The sequence below is a fragment of the Homo sapiens genome, chromosome X (assembly GCF_000001405.40).
Source record: "Homo sapiens chromosome X, GRCh38.p14 Primary Assembly".
In the NCBI taxonomy this organism is placed as follows: domain Eukaryota; kingdom Metazoa; phylum Chordata; class Mammalia; order Primates; family Hominidae; genus Homo; species Homo sapiens.
In genome coordinates, this window is record NC_000023.11 from 129,016,169 (window position 1) to 129,033,738 (window position 17,570).

General features: G+C 37.4%; 1 long non-coding RNA gene across 11 annotated transcripts in view; it reads right to left on the reverse strand.

The window, feature by feature from the left end:
- LOC124905213 (uncharacterized) overlaps positions 1-17,570 on the reverse strand; it is a 275,363-nt gene that overhangs the window by 105,099 nt on the left and 152,694 nt on the right. For 8 of the 11 annotated variants that reach the window (XR_007068324.1, XR_007068325.1, XR_007068316.1 and 5 more), the window contains one exon: positions 16,182-16,326. This is a non-coding gene — a long non-coding RNA (uncharacterized LOC124905213). Of the gene's footprint in view, positions 1-11,861; positions 13,116-14,685; positions 15,200-16,181; positions 16,327-17,212; positions 17,329-17,570 lie in introns of those variants that run through there. The other 3 variants (XR_007068320.1, XR_007068318.1, XR_007068323.1) reach the window with 3 other exon arrangements.

Consider the following 17,570-nt stretch of genomic DNA (forward strand, 5'->3'; position numbering starts at 1 on the left):
CCAGCACTTTGGGGGACCAAGGTGGGTGGATCTTCTGAGTCCAGGAGTTCAGGACCAGCCTGGGCAACATGAGGAAACCCTGTCTCTACCAAAAATACAAAAAAAAAAAAAATTAGCTGGGCATGGTGGCACACCTGTAATCCCAGCTACTCGGGAGGCTGGGGAATGAGAATCACTTGAGCCCAGGAGGCAGAGGTTGTAGTGAGCCAAGATCACGCCACTGCACTCCAACCTGGGTGATAGACTGAGACTCCACCTCAAAAACAAACAAACAAACAAAAAAACACATTTATCATTTTGTTGTAAGAATGTCATAAATCTATTTTAGATAATTTGAAATATACATTATTAGTGCCATATTTTAACTTTTTAATAGCTTTAAGGGTACAAGTAGTTTCTGGTTACATGGGTGAATTGTATAGTGGTGAAGTCTAGGCTTTTGGTGCACCTGTCACCAGAGTAGTATACATTGTACCCAATAGGTAGTTTTTCACCCCTCATCCCCCTCCACCCCTACCCCCTTCTGAGTCTCCAATTTCCATTATACCACTCTGTGTGCCTTCATGTACCCATAGCTTAGTTCTCACTTTTAAGTGAGAATATATATTTGATTTTTTATTTCTGAGTTACTTCACTTAGAATAGTGGCCTCCAGTTCCATCCACATTGCTGCAAAAGGCATTATTTCATTCTTTTTATGGCTGAGTAGTATTCCATGGTGTATATGTTATATATATATATATATATATAATTTTCTTTATCCACTCATCAGTTGATGGGCACTTAGGGTGACTCCATATCCTTGCAATTGTGAATTTTGCTGCAATAAGCATAGGTGTGCAGGTGTCTTTTGATATAATGACTTATTTTCCTTTGGGTAGATACTCAGTAATGGGATTCCTGGATTGAATGGTAGATCAAATTTTTGTTCTTTAAGGAATCTCCATACTGTTTTCCATAGAGGTTGTACTAATTTACATTGCCACCAGCAGCATTAGAGCATTCTCTTTTCACCACATCCATGCCAACATCTATTGTTGTTGGACTTTTTAATAATGACCATTCTGACTGGGGTAAGGTGGTATTTCATTGTTTTTTTAATTTGCATTCCCCTGATGATTAGTGATGTTGAACATTTTTTCATATATTTGTTGGCCATTTGTACATCTTCTTTTGAAAAATGTCTATGCATGTCCTTTGCCCACTTTTTAATGGGATTAGTTGATTTTTTTCTTGCTGATTTGAGTTCCTTGTAGATTCTGCATATTAGTCTTTTTTCAAGTGCATAATTTAAAGGTATTTTCTCCCATTCTGTGTGTTCTCTGTTAACTCTGATAACGATTTCTTTTGTTGTGCAGAAGCCTTTTAGTTTAATTAGGCCCCATCTATTCATCTTTATTTTTGTTGCATTTGTTTTTTTGTTTGTTTGTTTGTTTTGTTTTGTTTTTGTCTAGTCATAAATGCTTTGCCAAGGCCAATGTTCAGAAGAGTTTTTCCCAGGTATTCTTCTAGAATTTTTATGGTTTCAGATATTATATTTAAGTCTTTGATCCATCTTGAGTTGATTTTTGTAGAAGGTGAGAGATGGGGATCCAGTTTCATTCTCCTACATGTGTCTTGACAGTTTTCCCAGTACCATTTATTGAATAGGGTGTCCTTTCCCCAATTTATATTTTTGTATGCTTTGTGAAAGATCAGTTGGTTGTAAGTATTTGGCTTAACTGCTGGGTTCTCTACTCTGATCCATTAGTCTATATGTCTACTTTTATACCAGTACCATGCTGTTTTGGTAATTAAACCCTTGTAGTATAAATTTAAATTGGATAATATGCTGCCTACAGATTTGCTCTTTTTGCTTAGGATTGCTTTGGCTATCTGGGCTCTTTTTTGGCTCCATATAAATTTTAGGGTTTTTTTTCTAATTTTATGAAAAATGATGGTGGTATATTTATGGGAATTGCATTGAATCTGTAGATTGCTTTGGGCAGTATGGTCATTTTCACTGTATAGATTCTTCCAATCCATGAGCATGGGACGTATTTCCATTTGTTTCTGTCATCTATGATTTCTTTCAGCAGTGTTTCGTAGTTTCCCTTGTAGAGATCTTTCACCTCCTTGGTTAAATATATTCTGAGGTATTTTAATTTTTGTAGCTATTGTAAAAGGGACTGAATTCTTGATTTGATTCTTAGCTTGGTCATTGTTGGTGTTTGGCACTGCTACTGTTTTGTGTATGTTGATTTTGTAACCTGAGACTTTACTGAGTTTATCAGATCTAGAAGTTTTTTGGAGAAGTTTGAGGGTTTTCTAGATATAAGATCATATCATCAGCAAACAGTTTGACTTCCTCTTTTCCAATTTGGATGTACTTTATTTCTTTCTTTTGCCTGATTGCTCTGGCTGGGACTTCCAGTTCTACATTGTTTAGAAGTGGTGAAAGTGGGCATCCTTGTCTTGTTCTACTTCTCAGGGGGAATGCTTTCAACTTTTCCCTATTTAGTATGATGCTGGCTATGAGTTTGTCAGATACGGCTTTTATTATTTTGAAGTATGTTTCTTCTATGCCTAGTTTGTTGAGGGTTCTTATCATAAAGAGATGCTGGATTTTATCAATGTTTTTTCTGTGTCTATTAAGATGATCATATGGCTTTTGCACTTAATTCTGTTTATATAATGAATCACATTTATTGACTTGTGTAAGTTGAACCATCCCTGTATCCCTAGAATGAAACCCACTTGATCATGGTGAATTATTTTTTTTTTTGATGTCCTGTTGGGTTTGGTTTGCTAGCAATACCTTATTATTAACTGTGGTCATCATGTAATGTAATAGATCACTAAAGATTATTCCTACAATCTAATTGAAAGTTTGTACCCTTTAATCAACATTTCCCCATTCCCCATTCCCTCACCATCCTCTCTCCTCTGCCTCTGGTAACAAGCTTTTTATTTGGTTTCTATGAGATCAACTTTTTATAGTTTTAATTTGTCTTGTTATGGATATATGACAGCTATAGATATATTTATGGGATACATGTGATATTTTGAAAAAGTATACAATATATAATGATCAAATCTGGATAGTTGTGATATCCATCATTTCAAATATTTGTGTTGAGAACATTTGAAATCCTCTCTTCTAGCTATTTTAAAATATATAATACATTATTGTTAACTATATTTGCCATATTGTGCCACTGCATACTAGATCTTATTCCTTCTATTTTTGTATCCATTAACCAACTCCTTTTTATGTCTCCCTCCTCACTACCATTCCCAGCCTCTGATAAACATCATTCTATTCACCAACTCCATGAGATCAATTTTTAGCTCCTACATGAGTGAGAATACGTGACATTTGTCTTTCTGTGCCTGGCTTATTTTACTTAACATAATGACCTCCAATTCCATCTACACCGTTTCAAATGACAGGGTTTCATTCTTTTTATGGTGGAATAATGTTCTGTTGTATATATATGCCACATTTACTTTATTCATTTATCTGTTGATGGACAACTAAATTGATTCCATATCATAGCTACTGTGAATAGTGCTGAAATATATAAAAGTGCAGGTATCCCTTTGATATACTGATTTCCGTTCTTTGCTTATATACCTAGTGGTAGGATTGCTGGATCATGTAGTTCTATTTTTAGGTTTTTGAGGAACCTTCATGTTTTCCATAGTGGCTGCACTAATTTACATTCCCACTAACAGTGTAGGAGTGTCCCCCTTTCTCTGCATCCTTGACAGCATTTGTTATTTTCTGCATTTTTTAAATAGTCATTTTAACAGATTATGACATTTTTCAATTCCACAAATAAGTGAAACCATACAGTATGTGTCTTTTCTTGGCTTATTTAACTTGGCATAATGTTCTTCAGTTCTATCATAAGGGGCTAATATCCAAAATATATAAGGAACTCAACTCAATAGCAAGAAAACAAATAACCCAATTAAAACACGGGCAAAGGATCTGAACTGATATTTCTCAAAAGAAGAGATACAAGTGACCAACCAATATATGAAAAATGTTCAGCATCTCTAATCATCAGGTAATTGCAAATTAAAATCACAATGAGATATCACCTCACACCTGCTAGAATGGCTGTATCAAACAGACAAATGAAAACAAGTGTTAGTGAGGATATGGGGAAAAAATGAACCATAGTATACTATTGGTGGGAATGTAAATTAGTACAGCTATTTTAGAATATAGTATAGAGGTTCTTCAAAAAACTAAAAATAGAATTACTCTATGATCCAGCAATCCCACTTCTGAGTATATATCCAAAGGAATTGAAATTGGTATGTCAGAGATATCTGCACTCCCATGTTAATTTCAGTATTTTTCACAATAGCGAAGACATGGAAGCAACCTAAGTGTCCATCAACAGATGAACAAAGAAAAGGTGGTATATATACACAATTTTAAAAAGGAAATGTTATCATTTGCAACAGTATAGATTCATTTTATGTGTTTTTGTGCTTTATACAAATTGAACCCTTCAGTATGCATTCTTATATCTAGTTTTTCTCAATATTATGTTTTAGATGTTCATTCATATGGTTGAACATAGTTTTAGAATGTTCACTTTCATTTCTGTTTATTGTACATTCATTCAAAGTAATACTAATTATATCCAATCTACTACTGAGGGTAAATTGGATAGTTTCCCTATTTTTTAGCTGTCCAAAATACGGTTGCTATAAACATTCTAGCATATGTATTTTGAAGAACATATATATGCTGTCATGAACTTTAGCTTCCCCATCTCTGCCAAGCTCAAAGCTCTTCCTGATTCAAAATTTTACTAACAGAAGACGACAGGATTAATTGTGATTTTTCAACATCAAGTATGGCCAACAGAACTTAGGATGGCCCCCACCTTCACACCCTGTATAATGTCCTTCCCTTGAGTGTGGCAATGATCTGTGATTTGCTTCTAACTAGTAGAAGATGACAAAGATGATTGGATGTCACTCCTGTGATTACATATGTGCTCACACACACAAACACACATGCTGTAAAAGGGCCTTCAGAGAGGGCCACATGGCAAGGAACTGCAGACAGACTCTACTTCCTAAAAGCAGACTTTGATCCACAGTTGGCAAGAAAATGGGAACCTGAATTCTACAGCTGTGAAGGGGATGAAGCCTGTAAACAAACTGAATGAGCTTGGAAATGGATTCTTCCCCAGTGGAGATTCCAGATAAGAACACTGGCTGGCAGCTTGATTGCAGCCTTGTGAGACACCATGCAGTAAACCTACTTAAGGCACACCCACACTTCTGACCTATGGAAACTGTGAGATAATAAATGTATGCTGTGTTAAGTCACTAGCTTTGGGGTAATTTGTTACACAGTATATTTTTTTCCTATTGCTGCTGTAACATGTCATCACAAACATATGACTTAAAACAATCCACATCTATTGTCTTATTCCAGAGGTCAGAAATCCTAAAAACCAATGTGCTAGCTGGGCTGGGCTCCTTCTGGAGCCTCTAGGGTAGAGATCACTTGCACTCCTTAACTCATGGCTCCTTTCTCCACCTTCAAAGCCAGTAGTACATCAACTTCAGGTTTTTGTCTGTCTCTATGACCTCTGCTTCCTTCATCATACCTTTTTTTTTTGACTCTGACCTTCTCACCTCCATCTTATCAAGACTCTCATGATAATACTGGGCCCACCCAGATAAATCAGAATTCTCTCTCCATTCTTAAGTTAGTCACATCTGCAAAGTTCATTCTGTCTTGTAAGGTAACATTCACAGGTTCTGGGGAATGGTTTGCAGATATCTTTGAGGGGGTCATTCTGCCTACTACATACTGCAATAGAAAATGAATGTAGGTGCTCAACTTATGATGGCGTTAAGTCCTGATATAGCATTCCAAGTTGATAATATTATAAATCAAAAGTGTGTTTTTGCACTTTCATGTTAAATCATTGTGTTAAATTTAAATGGAGTCCTGGAAATCAGGGCATACATATATACCATTTAATTTATTTTTTATTTCAATAGGTTTTTGGGAACAACTGGTGTTTGATTACATAAATAAGTTCTTTAGTGGCGATTTCTGAGATTTTGGTGCACCCATCACCGAAGCAGTATACACTGTACCCAATGTATAGTCTTTTATTCCTCACCCCCCTCCCACCTTTAGCCCGAGTATCCAAAGTCTATTGTATCACTCTTACAGCATACATATATACTTCTTGACTGTTTTGAAAACATCCTAAGATCTTCTCTTTCCTCCCCTCATATCACATTAGTCTCTAAATTATTTTGGTTTTTATGTTCTTTAGGTTAGTTTCCTTGTTTTTCATTGTTAATGCCATAATAAAACCTCATCAGCTCTAATCTAGATTATTGCAACAGCCTGAAAGAGGTTACCAGAGACATCATTTCCCTCTCATCATTCCTATTCAACATAGTGTTGGAAGTTCTGGCCAGGGCAATCAGGCAAGAGAAAGAAATAGAGGGTATTCAATTAGGAAAAGAGGAAGTCAAATTGTCCCTGATTGCAGATGACATGATTGTATATTTAGAAAACCCCATCGTCTCAGCCCAAAATCTCCTTAAACTGATAAGCAACTTCAGCAAAGTCTCAGGATACAAAATCAATGTTCAAAAATCACAAGCATTCCTATATACCAATAACAGACAAACAGAGAGCCAAATCATGAGTGAACACCCATTCACAATTGCTACTAAGAGAGTAAAATATCTAGGAATACAACTTACAAGGGATGTGAAGGAACTGTTCAAGGAGAACTACAAACCACTGCTCAATGAAATAAGAGAGGACACAAACAAATGGAAAAACATTCCATGCTCATGGATAGGAAGAATCAGTATCATCAAAATGGCCATACTGCCCAAAGTAATTTAAAGATTAAATGCTATCCTGATCAAGCTATCATTGACTTTCTTCACAGAATTGAAAAAGACTACTTTACATTTCATATGGAACTAAAAAAGAGCCCGCACAACCAAGACAATCCTAAGCAAAAAGAACAAAGCTAGAGGCATCATGCTACCTGTCCTCAAACTATACTACAAGGCTACAGTAACCAAAACAGCATGGTACTGCTACCAAAACAGATATATAGACCAATGGAACAGAACAGAGCCCTCAGAAATAACGCCACACATCTACAACCATCTGATCTTTGACAAACCTGACAAAAATCAAGAAATGGGGAAAGGATTCCCTATTTAATAAATGGTGTTGGGAAAACTGGCTAGCCATATGCAGAAAGCTGAAACTGGACCCCTTCCTTACACCTTATACAAAAATTAACTCAAGATGGATTAAAGACTTAAACATAAGACCTAAAACCATAAAAACCCTAGAAGAAAACCTAAGCAATACCATTCAGGACATAGGCATGGGCAAAGACTTCATGACTAAAACACCAAAAGCAATGGCAACAAAAGCCAAAATAGACAAATGGGATCTGATTAAAATAAAGAGCTTCTGAACAGCACAAGAAACTATCATCACAGTGAACAGGCAACCTACAGAATGGGAGAAAATTTTTGCAATCTATCCATCTGACAAAGAGCTAATATCCAGAATCTTCAAAGAACTTAAACAAGTTTACAAGAAAAAAACAAACAACGCCATCAAAAAGTGGGTGAAAGATATGAACAGACACTTCTCAAAAGAAGACATTTATGTGACCAACAAACATGAAAAAAAGGTCATCATCACTGGTCATTAGAGAAATGTAAATCAAAACCACTATGAGATATCATCTCACACCAGTTAGAATGGCAATCATTAAAAAGTCAGGAAACAACAGGTGCTGGAGGGGATGTGGAGAAATAGGAATGCTTTTACACTGTTGGTGGGAGTGTAAATTAGTTCAACCATTGTGGAAGACAGTATGGCAATTCTTCAAGGATCTAGAACCAGAAATACCATTTGACCCAGCTATCCCATTACTGGGTATATACCCAAAGGATTATAAATCACTCTACTATAAAGACACATGTACATGTATGTTTATTGTGGTACTGTTCACAATAGCAAAGACTTGTAACCAACGCAAATGCCCATCAATGATAGACTGGATAAATAAAATGTGGCACCTATATACCATGGAATACTATGCAGCCATAAAAAAGGATGAGTTCACGTCCTTTGCAGGGACATGGATGACACTGAAAACCATCATTCTCAGCAAACTAACACAAGAATGGAAAACCAAACACTGCATGTTGTCACTCATGAGAATAAGTGGGAGTTTGAACAATGAGAACACATGGACACAGGGAGGGGAACATCACACACCAGGGCCTGTTGGGGGGTGGGGGGCTAGGGGAGGGATAGCATTAGGAGAAATACCTAATGTAAGTGATGGGTTGATGGGTGCAGCAAACCACCATGGAACATGTATACCAATGTAACAAACCTGCACATTCTGCACAGGTATCCCAGAACTTAAAGTATAATAATAATAATAATAAAATACTGCCAACCAACTTAACCTAATTTATAGAGACAGCACTCTACCCAACAGCAGAATACAAATTATTTTCAGGTACACATAGAACATTTACAAAGACAAACCATATTCTGGGCCATAAAACAAGTCTCAATACATTTCAGAGGATTCATGTCATAAAAAGGATATTTTGTGTCCACAGTGGAATTACATTCTAAATAAGTAGTAGAAAAATATCTGGAAAATCCCCTAATATCTTTAAACTAAATAACATACTTCTAAATAACCCATGAGTCAAAGAAGAATTCCAGAGGGAAACTAGAAAGTATTTTGACCTGAATAAAATTGAAAACACAATTGATCAAAGTTTGGGGTTACTGCCAAAGTAGTACTTGGAGGGAAATTTATAGCACTCACTGCCTATGTTAGAAAAGATGAAAGATCTCATATCAATGACCTCACCTTCTACCTTAAGAAACTAGAAGAAGAGCATATGAAACTCAAATTAAGGAGAAGAAAGTAAAAAACCAGAGCAGGGAAGACAGGGAGGGAAGAAATACAAAGAGGTGCAAAGATACTTTTGGAGGGTGTTGGATATACTCATCATCTTGATTGTGGTGATAGTTTGACAGGCATATACATCCGTCAAAACTTATCAAAGAATATACTTTCAATATGTGCAGTTATATTATATATGTCAATTCTACTTAAATAAAGTTGCTTTGAAAACACAATCCAGATAGAACAGTGTTATCTGTTTTAATTTAGCAGTTTATTTCTTTAAGTATCTACCCAATTTCTTGAGCCTTTTCCCTGCTTAAGAATGATCCACCACAAAAGTGAAGAGGATAACAATGCAGGTGGCTATTTGCCAAATGGATGTAATAAAACCTGACTCTGCTAACTTCACAGGGTTCTGTGAAGATCAAAAGTGATAACGAACAGAGCTCATTACAAAGTTAGAACGTGTTATAAAAATGTAAGGGCTTATCTCTCTAGTTTCAGGTTTCCTGGTGAAGTGAATAATAAAACTAACTACAGCCAAATTTGGAAGTGAATAAAGTTTGTCTTTGATCTTCTCTCTCCCGGCCCCGATGCCCTCATGATGTAACTCCCAAAGCCAGGGAAAGCCTAACCAGGGCCTTGTTCTGCCAACTCTTTTTCCTTTTCTTTTTGCTAAACTCGTGTCAAGCTTTTGGTCTCTCCTGGAGATCCTGCTCTCGATTAAATGACAGGGGGTGCTAAATGAGCAACTCAGATAAGTGAATTTCTTAAAACCTATTTACTATACATTATCTTTGTCTCCGATTAGCTTACTATGCCTTAACACTGGCTAAATATCAATATTAACAAAATTCTTTATGAAGTCGCCCTTACTAGGGGGTAGCATTTGGAGGTAGATGGCCTCTTAATCAGTTTATCCTTTCAGAGACTGAACACTTCTTGGAAACTCCTTCTGTTGAATGTACAATGCCGCAGTTTTCTGCTCTAGTTATTTTATTATAAGCCAGGGATCTATTACATGAGCATTCCTAGAACGCCTATAAATCTCTTCCCTCTCCCCCAACCCATGTGTGCACACCTTTAAAAATAATAAGAAAACAAAGAAGCTCCAATCAGTAACAGCATTGCAATGTTCAATTTCATCCCTTATATATTACATTGGGATTATAATTAAATCGTTAAAATGCATTGCTAATCTGTAAATCTGGACTAATTAGCATAAGTGCACTCCGTAATTACTAAGCACAGGGCGTGTGCTTGTGACTTGCATAGACTTTTGGACTATTAAGCCTGTCTGAATGCTACTCCCCACGTGATGGCTCAGGAGCTTCCAAAGGAGCTTTCGCCAATTTTGTTCTGTATACCAGGATAGTGATATTGGTTTTACTTCAAAAAAGAAGCAGGTAATAGGCTCACACAGGTCACTACTAGATCTCCAATAAGCTCTCTTAACCCGTTTTTGTTTTGTTTGTTTTCCCTCTGGATCTAGTCTGAGATATTCTAGCTCCATCTTTTGGAATAAAATATAAAATATGGACTTACTGATAGGATCATTATTCTGGAATCTTTCTGAGAAAATTATCATAAAAGATAATTTAGTCAGCTGGTAACTTCACTTGCCTAAATGGCCTTCAATCTTTCATCACCCAGATAATGTTGGGGGATGCTACAGTCACAGGTTTATTGCATTGAGAGTGGATGGATTTTGTTTGCTTTCATGCCATTAAATTTCAGTATATCATTATTGTTCTAGGATGTAGCCATTCCTGGACACATCCAAGAATTTTTGACAGATATGCAATGTATTGTGCACTGCACAGCTACATTGTGACATAAGTGTCCACATCCTCATTAGTTAGCCATGCCTTGCCCCTCCCTTGCATTACTCTGTACTGCACGCTCTTCTCTGGAGCCATAGGATTTGCTTACAGGTGCTTATTCCCCTTCACCAGGGTCCTAATTCACCAGCCTCCACATCCCTGATCACAAAACTGAATGGGAAGAAAGCCTTCTCTTCTTTCTTCCTGTCTACCTTTTGTCATCTCCTACATTGGTATTCTTCTGTCCTCTCTCTAGGCTCATGGTCTGGCAATGGGCTTTGGGGGAGACAGTAAGGTAACATGGAGATCCTCACAAGTTGGAAATAGCTCAATACCTCATCCTGCCCTCTGCCCAAAGGTTACTGGATGGGTAAAGTGAGATTTTAAAACTTGGTTTATTTTCTTCCAAAACATCACCAATAACTAGGGAATCCTCTCCACCACTTCCTCCAAAAGAAGAAATTACAATGGAGGGGAAAAGTGGGCTTTGGGAGTAGTAAGATGCTAAATACAACTTCTAAATTCAGAAGCAATAGACTTCCCTAAATTCCCCCTAAACTGACCAGCCAATGTGCTCCTTCCTTTCTTATATCTAAAAGGCTCCTTCTAACACTGTTCCTACAAGATCTTTGGGACCAATAAGCACCTTGATTAGTTTTGGCTGTTATCAGATGTGGTCCCTTCCTATAGCCTTCATTTTCTAAGGTCCTGGGCTTTGGTATGCAGCTGTGAGAGTTTTTTAAATATTATTATTGGCCAGGCGTGGTGGCTCACGCCTGTAATCCCAGCACTTTGGGAGGCCAAGGCAGGCAGATCGCCTGAGCCCAGGAGTTTAAGACCAGCCTGGCCAACATGGCAAAATCTGTTTCTACTAAAAATACAAAAAAAAAAAATTATCCGGGTGTGGTGGTGGGCACCTGTAGTCCCAGCTGCTGGGGAGGCTGAGGCAGGAGAATTGCTTGAACTCAGGAAATGGAGGCTGCAGTGAGCCGAGATCATGCCACTGCACTCTAGCCTGGGTGACAGAGCGAGACTCCATCTCAAAAAAAAAAAATATATATATATATATATATAATTATTATTGGTATATATATATAATTATTATTGGTAATCTACAGGGTGGGAGTAGATTCATCCTGGCATTTCCCCCTCTCCCTTCCCTTTATTCAAACAAGTAGCTCTTTGCTTACTCTCAGGAGAGGTGTGCGGCAGAGTAAAAAACATAACTAGCTGGCAAATCATTCTGGTTTTTAAGTTCCCAAAGCTGAAACACTTAGGAGAAAGGGATTCTCTGGTAAAAACAAAATGTCTTAGCCTGAAGTATGAATGAAGACCATTTTCCCCAATTTGGGGGAAGTAAGATAGGAGAGAGGAGTGCTCTCTACCCTACTTCTTCACCCTGCCTGCAGGGCAGCAGCAAGATGCCAGAGAGTGAGATCTACGGGTCTGCCGAAAAGAGGAATCCAGAACTCCCAACTTTCTGGTTACAAGTGAGGAAACAGCAAGTCCTTACAGAAGAAAATGCAACACAGACCCCAAATGATGGATGAGATGTTGGCTGAGTGCACACCTACTAAGACCTCATCCTCCCTCCTCACCTCCCCTCCGCTGCCAGGAACGCTTTTCAGTTCAGAAAGGCTTTGTCATTTCAAGTAGGAATCTACACTGTCAGTGTAAGTTTGTAGTGAATACTCTCCACTAGGACCTCAAAAATATGGGTGTAGTCTTCTGTCTCTTAACTAGGTGCACTGCTTATGGGTGTTTCTCAGTCCAAGGGACAAGAAGAGACAAATATCCCACATTTCAGACAGGAAGTACCAAAAAAGCAGAGACAAACCATGAGACATAGACAAAATCTGTACATTGCAAGATTCTTTCTAATCTTAATGTGTCAGTTCATTTTAAATTTCTTATTTGGTATAAAATATTCATTTTTGAATTTTGTTTTTTAAAATATGTATAATTTATGTTGGAATCTAGTATTGAGTAGCTTTTAAATTCTAAAAGATTAGTGAAAAGTACATTGTATAAGAAAATAGGAAATGTTTTCAGTTTACCTTAATATTAAAAAATGCGGCTGGGTGCAGTGGCTCACGCCTGTAATCCCAGCACTTTGGGAGGCTGAGGCGGGCAGATCACAAGGTCAGGAGTTTGAGACCATCCTGGCCAACATGGTGAAACCCCATCTCTACCAAAAACACAAAAATTAGCCAGGCTTGTTGGCGCGCTCCTGTAATCCCAGCTACTCAGGAGGCTCAGGCAGGAGAATCAGAGAATCGCTTGAACCCAGGAGGTGAAGGTTGCAGTGAGCCAAGATCGCACCACTGCACTCCAGCCTAGGCGACAGAGAGAGACTGTCTTAATAAAAAAATAAAAAATAAAAAAAATGCAATTTTGTGCAGTACCTACAGAAAGCAAAATTGGGAACGAGGGCATAGCATATTTAATCTGATGCAAGGATTAGATTTCTGCCCTTAAACACAATACTTAAAGCTTTATGTAAATGAAATATAAACCATGGAATCTCAGTAGAAATTGCTATAATTCTAAAAATGTCCTCTTTTATAAATTGTAGAAGAAACAGATAATCTGGGAAAGTTTCAAATCTACAGAAAAAGTCAACTTAAAGCTTCTGAAAAAATTTTAAAGATGTATTTTTTTCAGGAATTACTATATTTTAATATAATCTGGTTCTATTTTCTTACATTTTTAATTGGCTTTTAGCAGTTTGAATTCATATAGCAATAAGGTATTTATCCAGAAGCCTCTAAGAAACTGAAATTCTACAACGGTAATGTATACAATTAAAAGAAAGATACTGGTACATATATGCAAAGTAAAATCAGAGTGATGAGCCAGGAATCAAAAGAGGGTTTGGGGGCAAAACCTTCAGAACTTATATTTACAAGTACTGCTTTTATTAATTATATGGAATTCTAGGTATCATCTTGATTTCCAGCAGGAAGAGTAAAGACTATGAATATCACTGCATTAAAATAATACTAATTAGAAAAATCATGTCATAAACTGCAAACTGGTTATCAGTACATAGTATGATATACATAGTTTTTAAGGAATCATTGCAATGTTATGAAAAAGAGAAGAACATGTAGCTCAGAAAATAAGAAGTTAAGAAGTTTTAAGATAAATATAGAATTCAGTAGAGTTCAACTGAATATGTGAAAATGTGAGGTTCTAATGTTACTAGAAATTAAATAATACGAGTCAGAATTATTCAGCCAAAAATCAAATAATCATGTACCATTATACATGAAACAGAACCTTGAAAACAGCATCTGAATTTTTACTGCCAGAGCCAGAGATTTAGGTGTGGAGGCTGACTGGATTTTCATTCATGACCCTGATGGGACATCCTGAACCCTATTTATGTTGTTTTAAGAGTGATTCCATAACCTCAGGGGGTGAAGTAGTCAGTGATTTAGCTCATTCCCCCGGGTTATATTAAACAGAACCTTGAAAACTGAGCATCTGAATCTTTTTATCATCTCCGTCTAGACAGGTAAGGGGACTCCTCCATTTTCTTTGATTCCTACCTCCACCGGGAAAAGCCTTCACTTTCTGAAAACTAAGAAATATCAACTAATGGCCGGGCGCGGTGGCTCATGCCTGTAATCCCAGCACTTTGGGAGCACTGAGGCAGATGGATCACCTGAGGTCAGGAGTTCGAGACCAGTCTGGCCAACATGGTGAAAGCCTGTCTCTACTAAAAATACAAAAATTATCCAGGCGTGGTGGCACACACCTGTAATTCCAGCTACTCGGGAGGCTGAGGCAGGAGAATTGCTTGAACCCAGGAGGTAGAGGTTGCAGTGAGCCAAGATCGTGCCACTGCACTCCAGCCTGGGTGACAGAGCGAGACTCCCCCTCAAAAAAAAAAAAAAAAAAAAAGAAAGAAAGAAATATCAACTACTAAAAGACAAAGCCTTCAAATTGAAAGCAAACAAATAATTGAATGAAGATATCAGATACTTATTTAACCATACAGAATGAGGAGTTATGGATGATTCGGATAAAGAAAGCTGACCATACATTCTTAGTGGGATGCAGCTAGGAACAAAAAGAACTGTATAGAAAATCTTGAACTTTACTTTGTAGGTTTATTGTTTAATATTATATTGTTATTTTTAAACAATTCTTTTTTTAACCAGATTAATCAAATAAGTAACTATATTTACTGTGTTCAAAATCAAAAATTTAGGAATTCTGCACCATAAGAGATAAATGTAAAATAACAATATGAAAAAAGAAAAATCACAAACCTTTTCTAGCTCTGTTCATTGAAATGAGCCAAGAGCAGTGATACCCATACAGTGCCCCCTTAGCATTCAGATTCTGGTCTCTGATACTATTCTTTCACTGAAAGGAACCATGACTCCTTCAAACATGAGTGATTCCATGTCTGGGGCAGAAAGGTACAAGGGGAGCGGGGAAAATATGATTGTACCAGAAAGCAACAAAACTTTCAATGAGTAGTGGGTCATGTTATAAGGAATGGAGCAAAAGTTTTTAAAGTCTTCCACATTAAAAAGAAAATAATTACTATAGGTGACTGAAATATAGTAAGTCTATGAAAAACCATGCTCCCATAATGATACACAAAAAGAAACCATAAGAAATGATTTCAAAAGTAGGTGAATAGAACAGAATGGCCGGGCACGGTGGCTCATGCCTACATAATCCCAGCACTTTGGGAGGCCGAGGCAGGCAGATCACCCAAGGTCAGGAGTTCAAGACCAGCCTGGCCAACATGGTGAAACCCCATCTCTACTAAAAACATAAAAACTAGCTGGGCGTGGTGGTAAACGCCTGTAATCCCAGCTACTCGGGAGGCTGAGGCAGGAGAATTGCTTGAACCCAGGAGACGGAGGTTGCAGAGAGTCGACACAGTGCCACTGCACTCCAGCCTCGGTGACAGAGTGAGACTCTGTCTCAAAACAAAAACAAACAAACAAAAACAGAACAGAATGCATTTCTATGGAGTTTTATTTCTCATTCATGAGGCATTATTGATTAATTTATTGTATCAATAGAGAATATAGAAACTAGTAAATACATCAGTTGAAGGGCAATTTCTGATGCCAGGGGAATATCAGAATGGCCAATAAACTGCGATCTCAAGTCAGACAAAGCAAAATGAAATATCTGGAATTCAATTGTATATAAATGTAAGTATTCTTAAGATATGTATGGCCCTAAGAATATGAATCAATGGGAAAAGTATTAACATATCTCAAGAACCCATCAACTTCCAAGTTCTTTAGAGTGTGGAGAAATACAATACAATATCGTAAGATTTTATCAACTCGGATGGAAACTACAGACTTATTATGTAATGTAATAACATTATCCCAGGGAAATGGGCTAAGTCACTGATCACTTACCTCTTGAGGTTATGGAATCACTCTTAAAACAACATAAATGGGGTTCAGGATGTCCTATCAGGGTCATGGATGAGAATCCAGTTGGCCTCCATGCCTAAGCCTTTGGCAGCAAATATCCTCATTGATTTGGTATGATAATTCTTCCCTAGGTGGAATAATATAAAATTAGGTATAGAGATGTTTAAAAGAAGTAAATTATTGTATTTATATGTTTGTATTAAGAAGGAAGTTCTGTATATCTGATTATATATTTGTGATACATGAGAGAATTCACCTTGTGACAGCCATGTAAATATAATATGGAATGTGTAATTAACAGTTATGATTTCAAAGTGCAATCTTAATAAATTTTCAGTACTGAAACATCTAAGATCTTCAGGCATGTTATTTTCATAGATTTAATTTTTAAAAAGTATTTAGTTCCCAGGCAGATTTGCTTAGTAGACCACTAAAATACTTAAAAGGGCCACGCTCAAGGTGGGGCAGCTGCTAACACTGCTTTTTGCACAGACACATGGACTGTCAGCCCTCTATCCTGTCCCCAGTCCTATCTGCCCCATCCCCACAATGGGGCCTCACCAAGAGGAACACTGCTTGGACAGTGTTCACTGCTGACAGTTCCTCAGCAGCCTGCCTTCACTAGCCTGTTTACCATATCCTGCCAGGAATCCTGTGGCCTCTGAGTCCTTCCTCCCATCTTAGCCCAAGCCTCCCCCCATAGGATACCCATGAATAAAGGGCAGCGGATGATGGAATAAATAGAAAATACCAAATTTATACTGGGATTTTAAAATATTACCTCTTCTCAGTATATGTTAGCTAGTCTTTGTGCTACTTGTAATGCAGGGAAATTGCAACAAATGTGATATAGGACACAACTGGAGTTGAAGGCCCTTTACCCACCTGCAAATTGATTTTATTGGCTGTTTTCAGATAGTGGGATACTCCCATGTCTAACTTGTAATGTGCCTTTTTTTTTTTTTCTGGATGGCCCAAGGCTTTCCTCTGCAATAGGAGGATAGTGCTATTACTGATTTTTTCTTTTAATGCTTCAGGAATACATTTTTTCACTGGAAAATTCCTCTTAATATGAAATCAGACCAAAGCTTCTATTTTATGGAACAAAATTTTCACCACGTATCTAAAGCTGTAAAAAACAAATTTCAGACACACACTCTTTACCACCCTCAAAACTCTTGCAAAGTGGAAGCAAAGGCAAGATGTGCAACATTAAGCAAGGACTAAGTACATTCTGCCATGAAACAGGCCTTAATAAGAGGCCTAAACCCCTTCAAATTTTGAATATTTAAAAGAAGTAAACTTCCTGTGGGCTGCAAGTCACTGAACTGTGCACTAAGCCTTCATGAGATTGTCCTCTAGCTAGTAGTC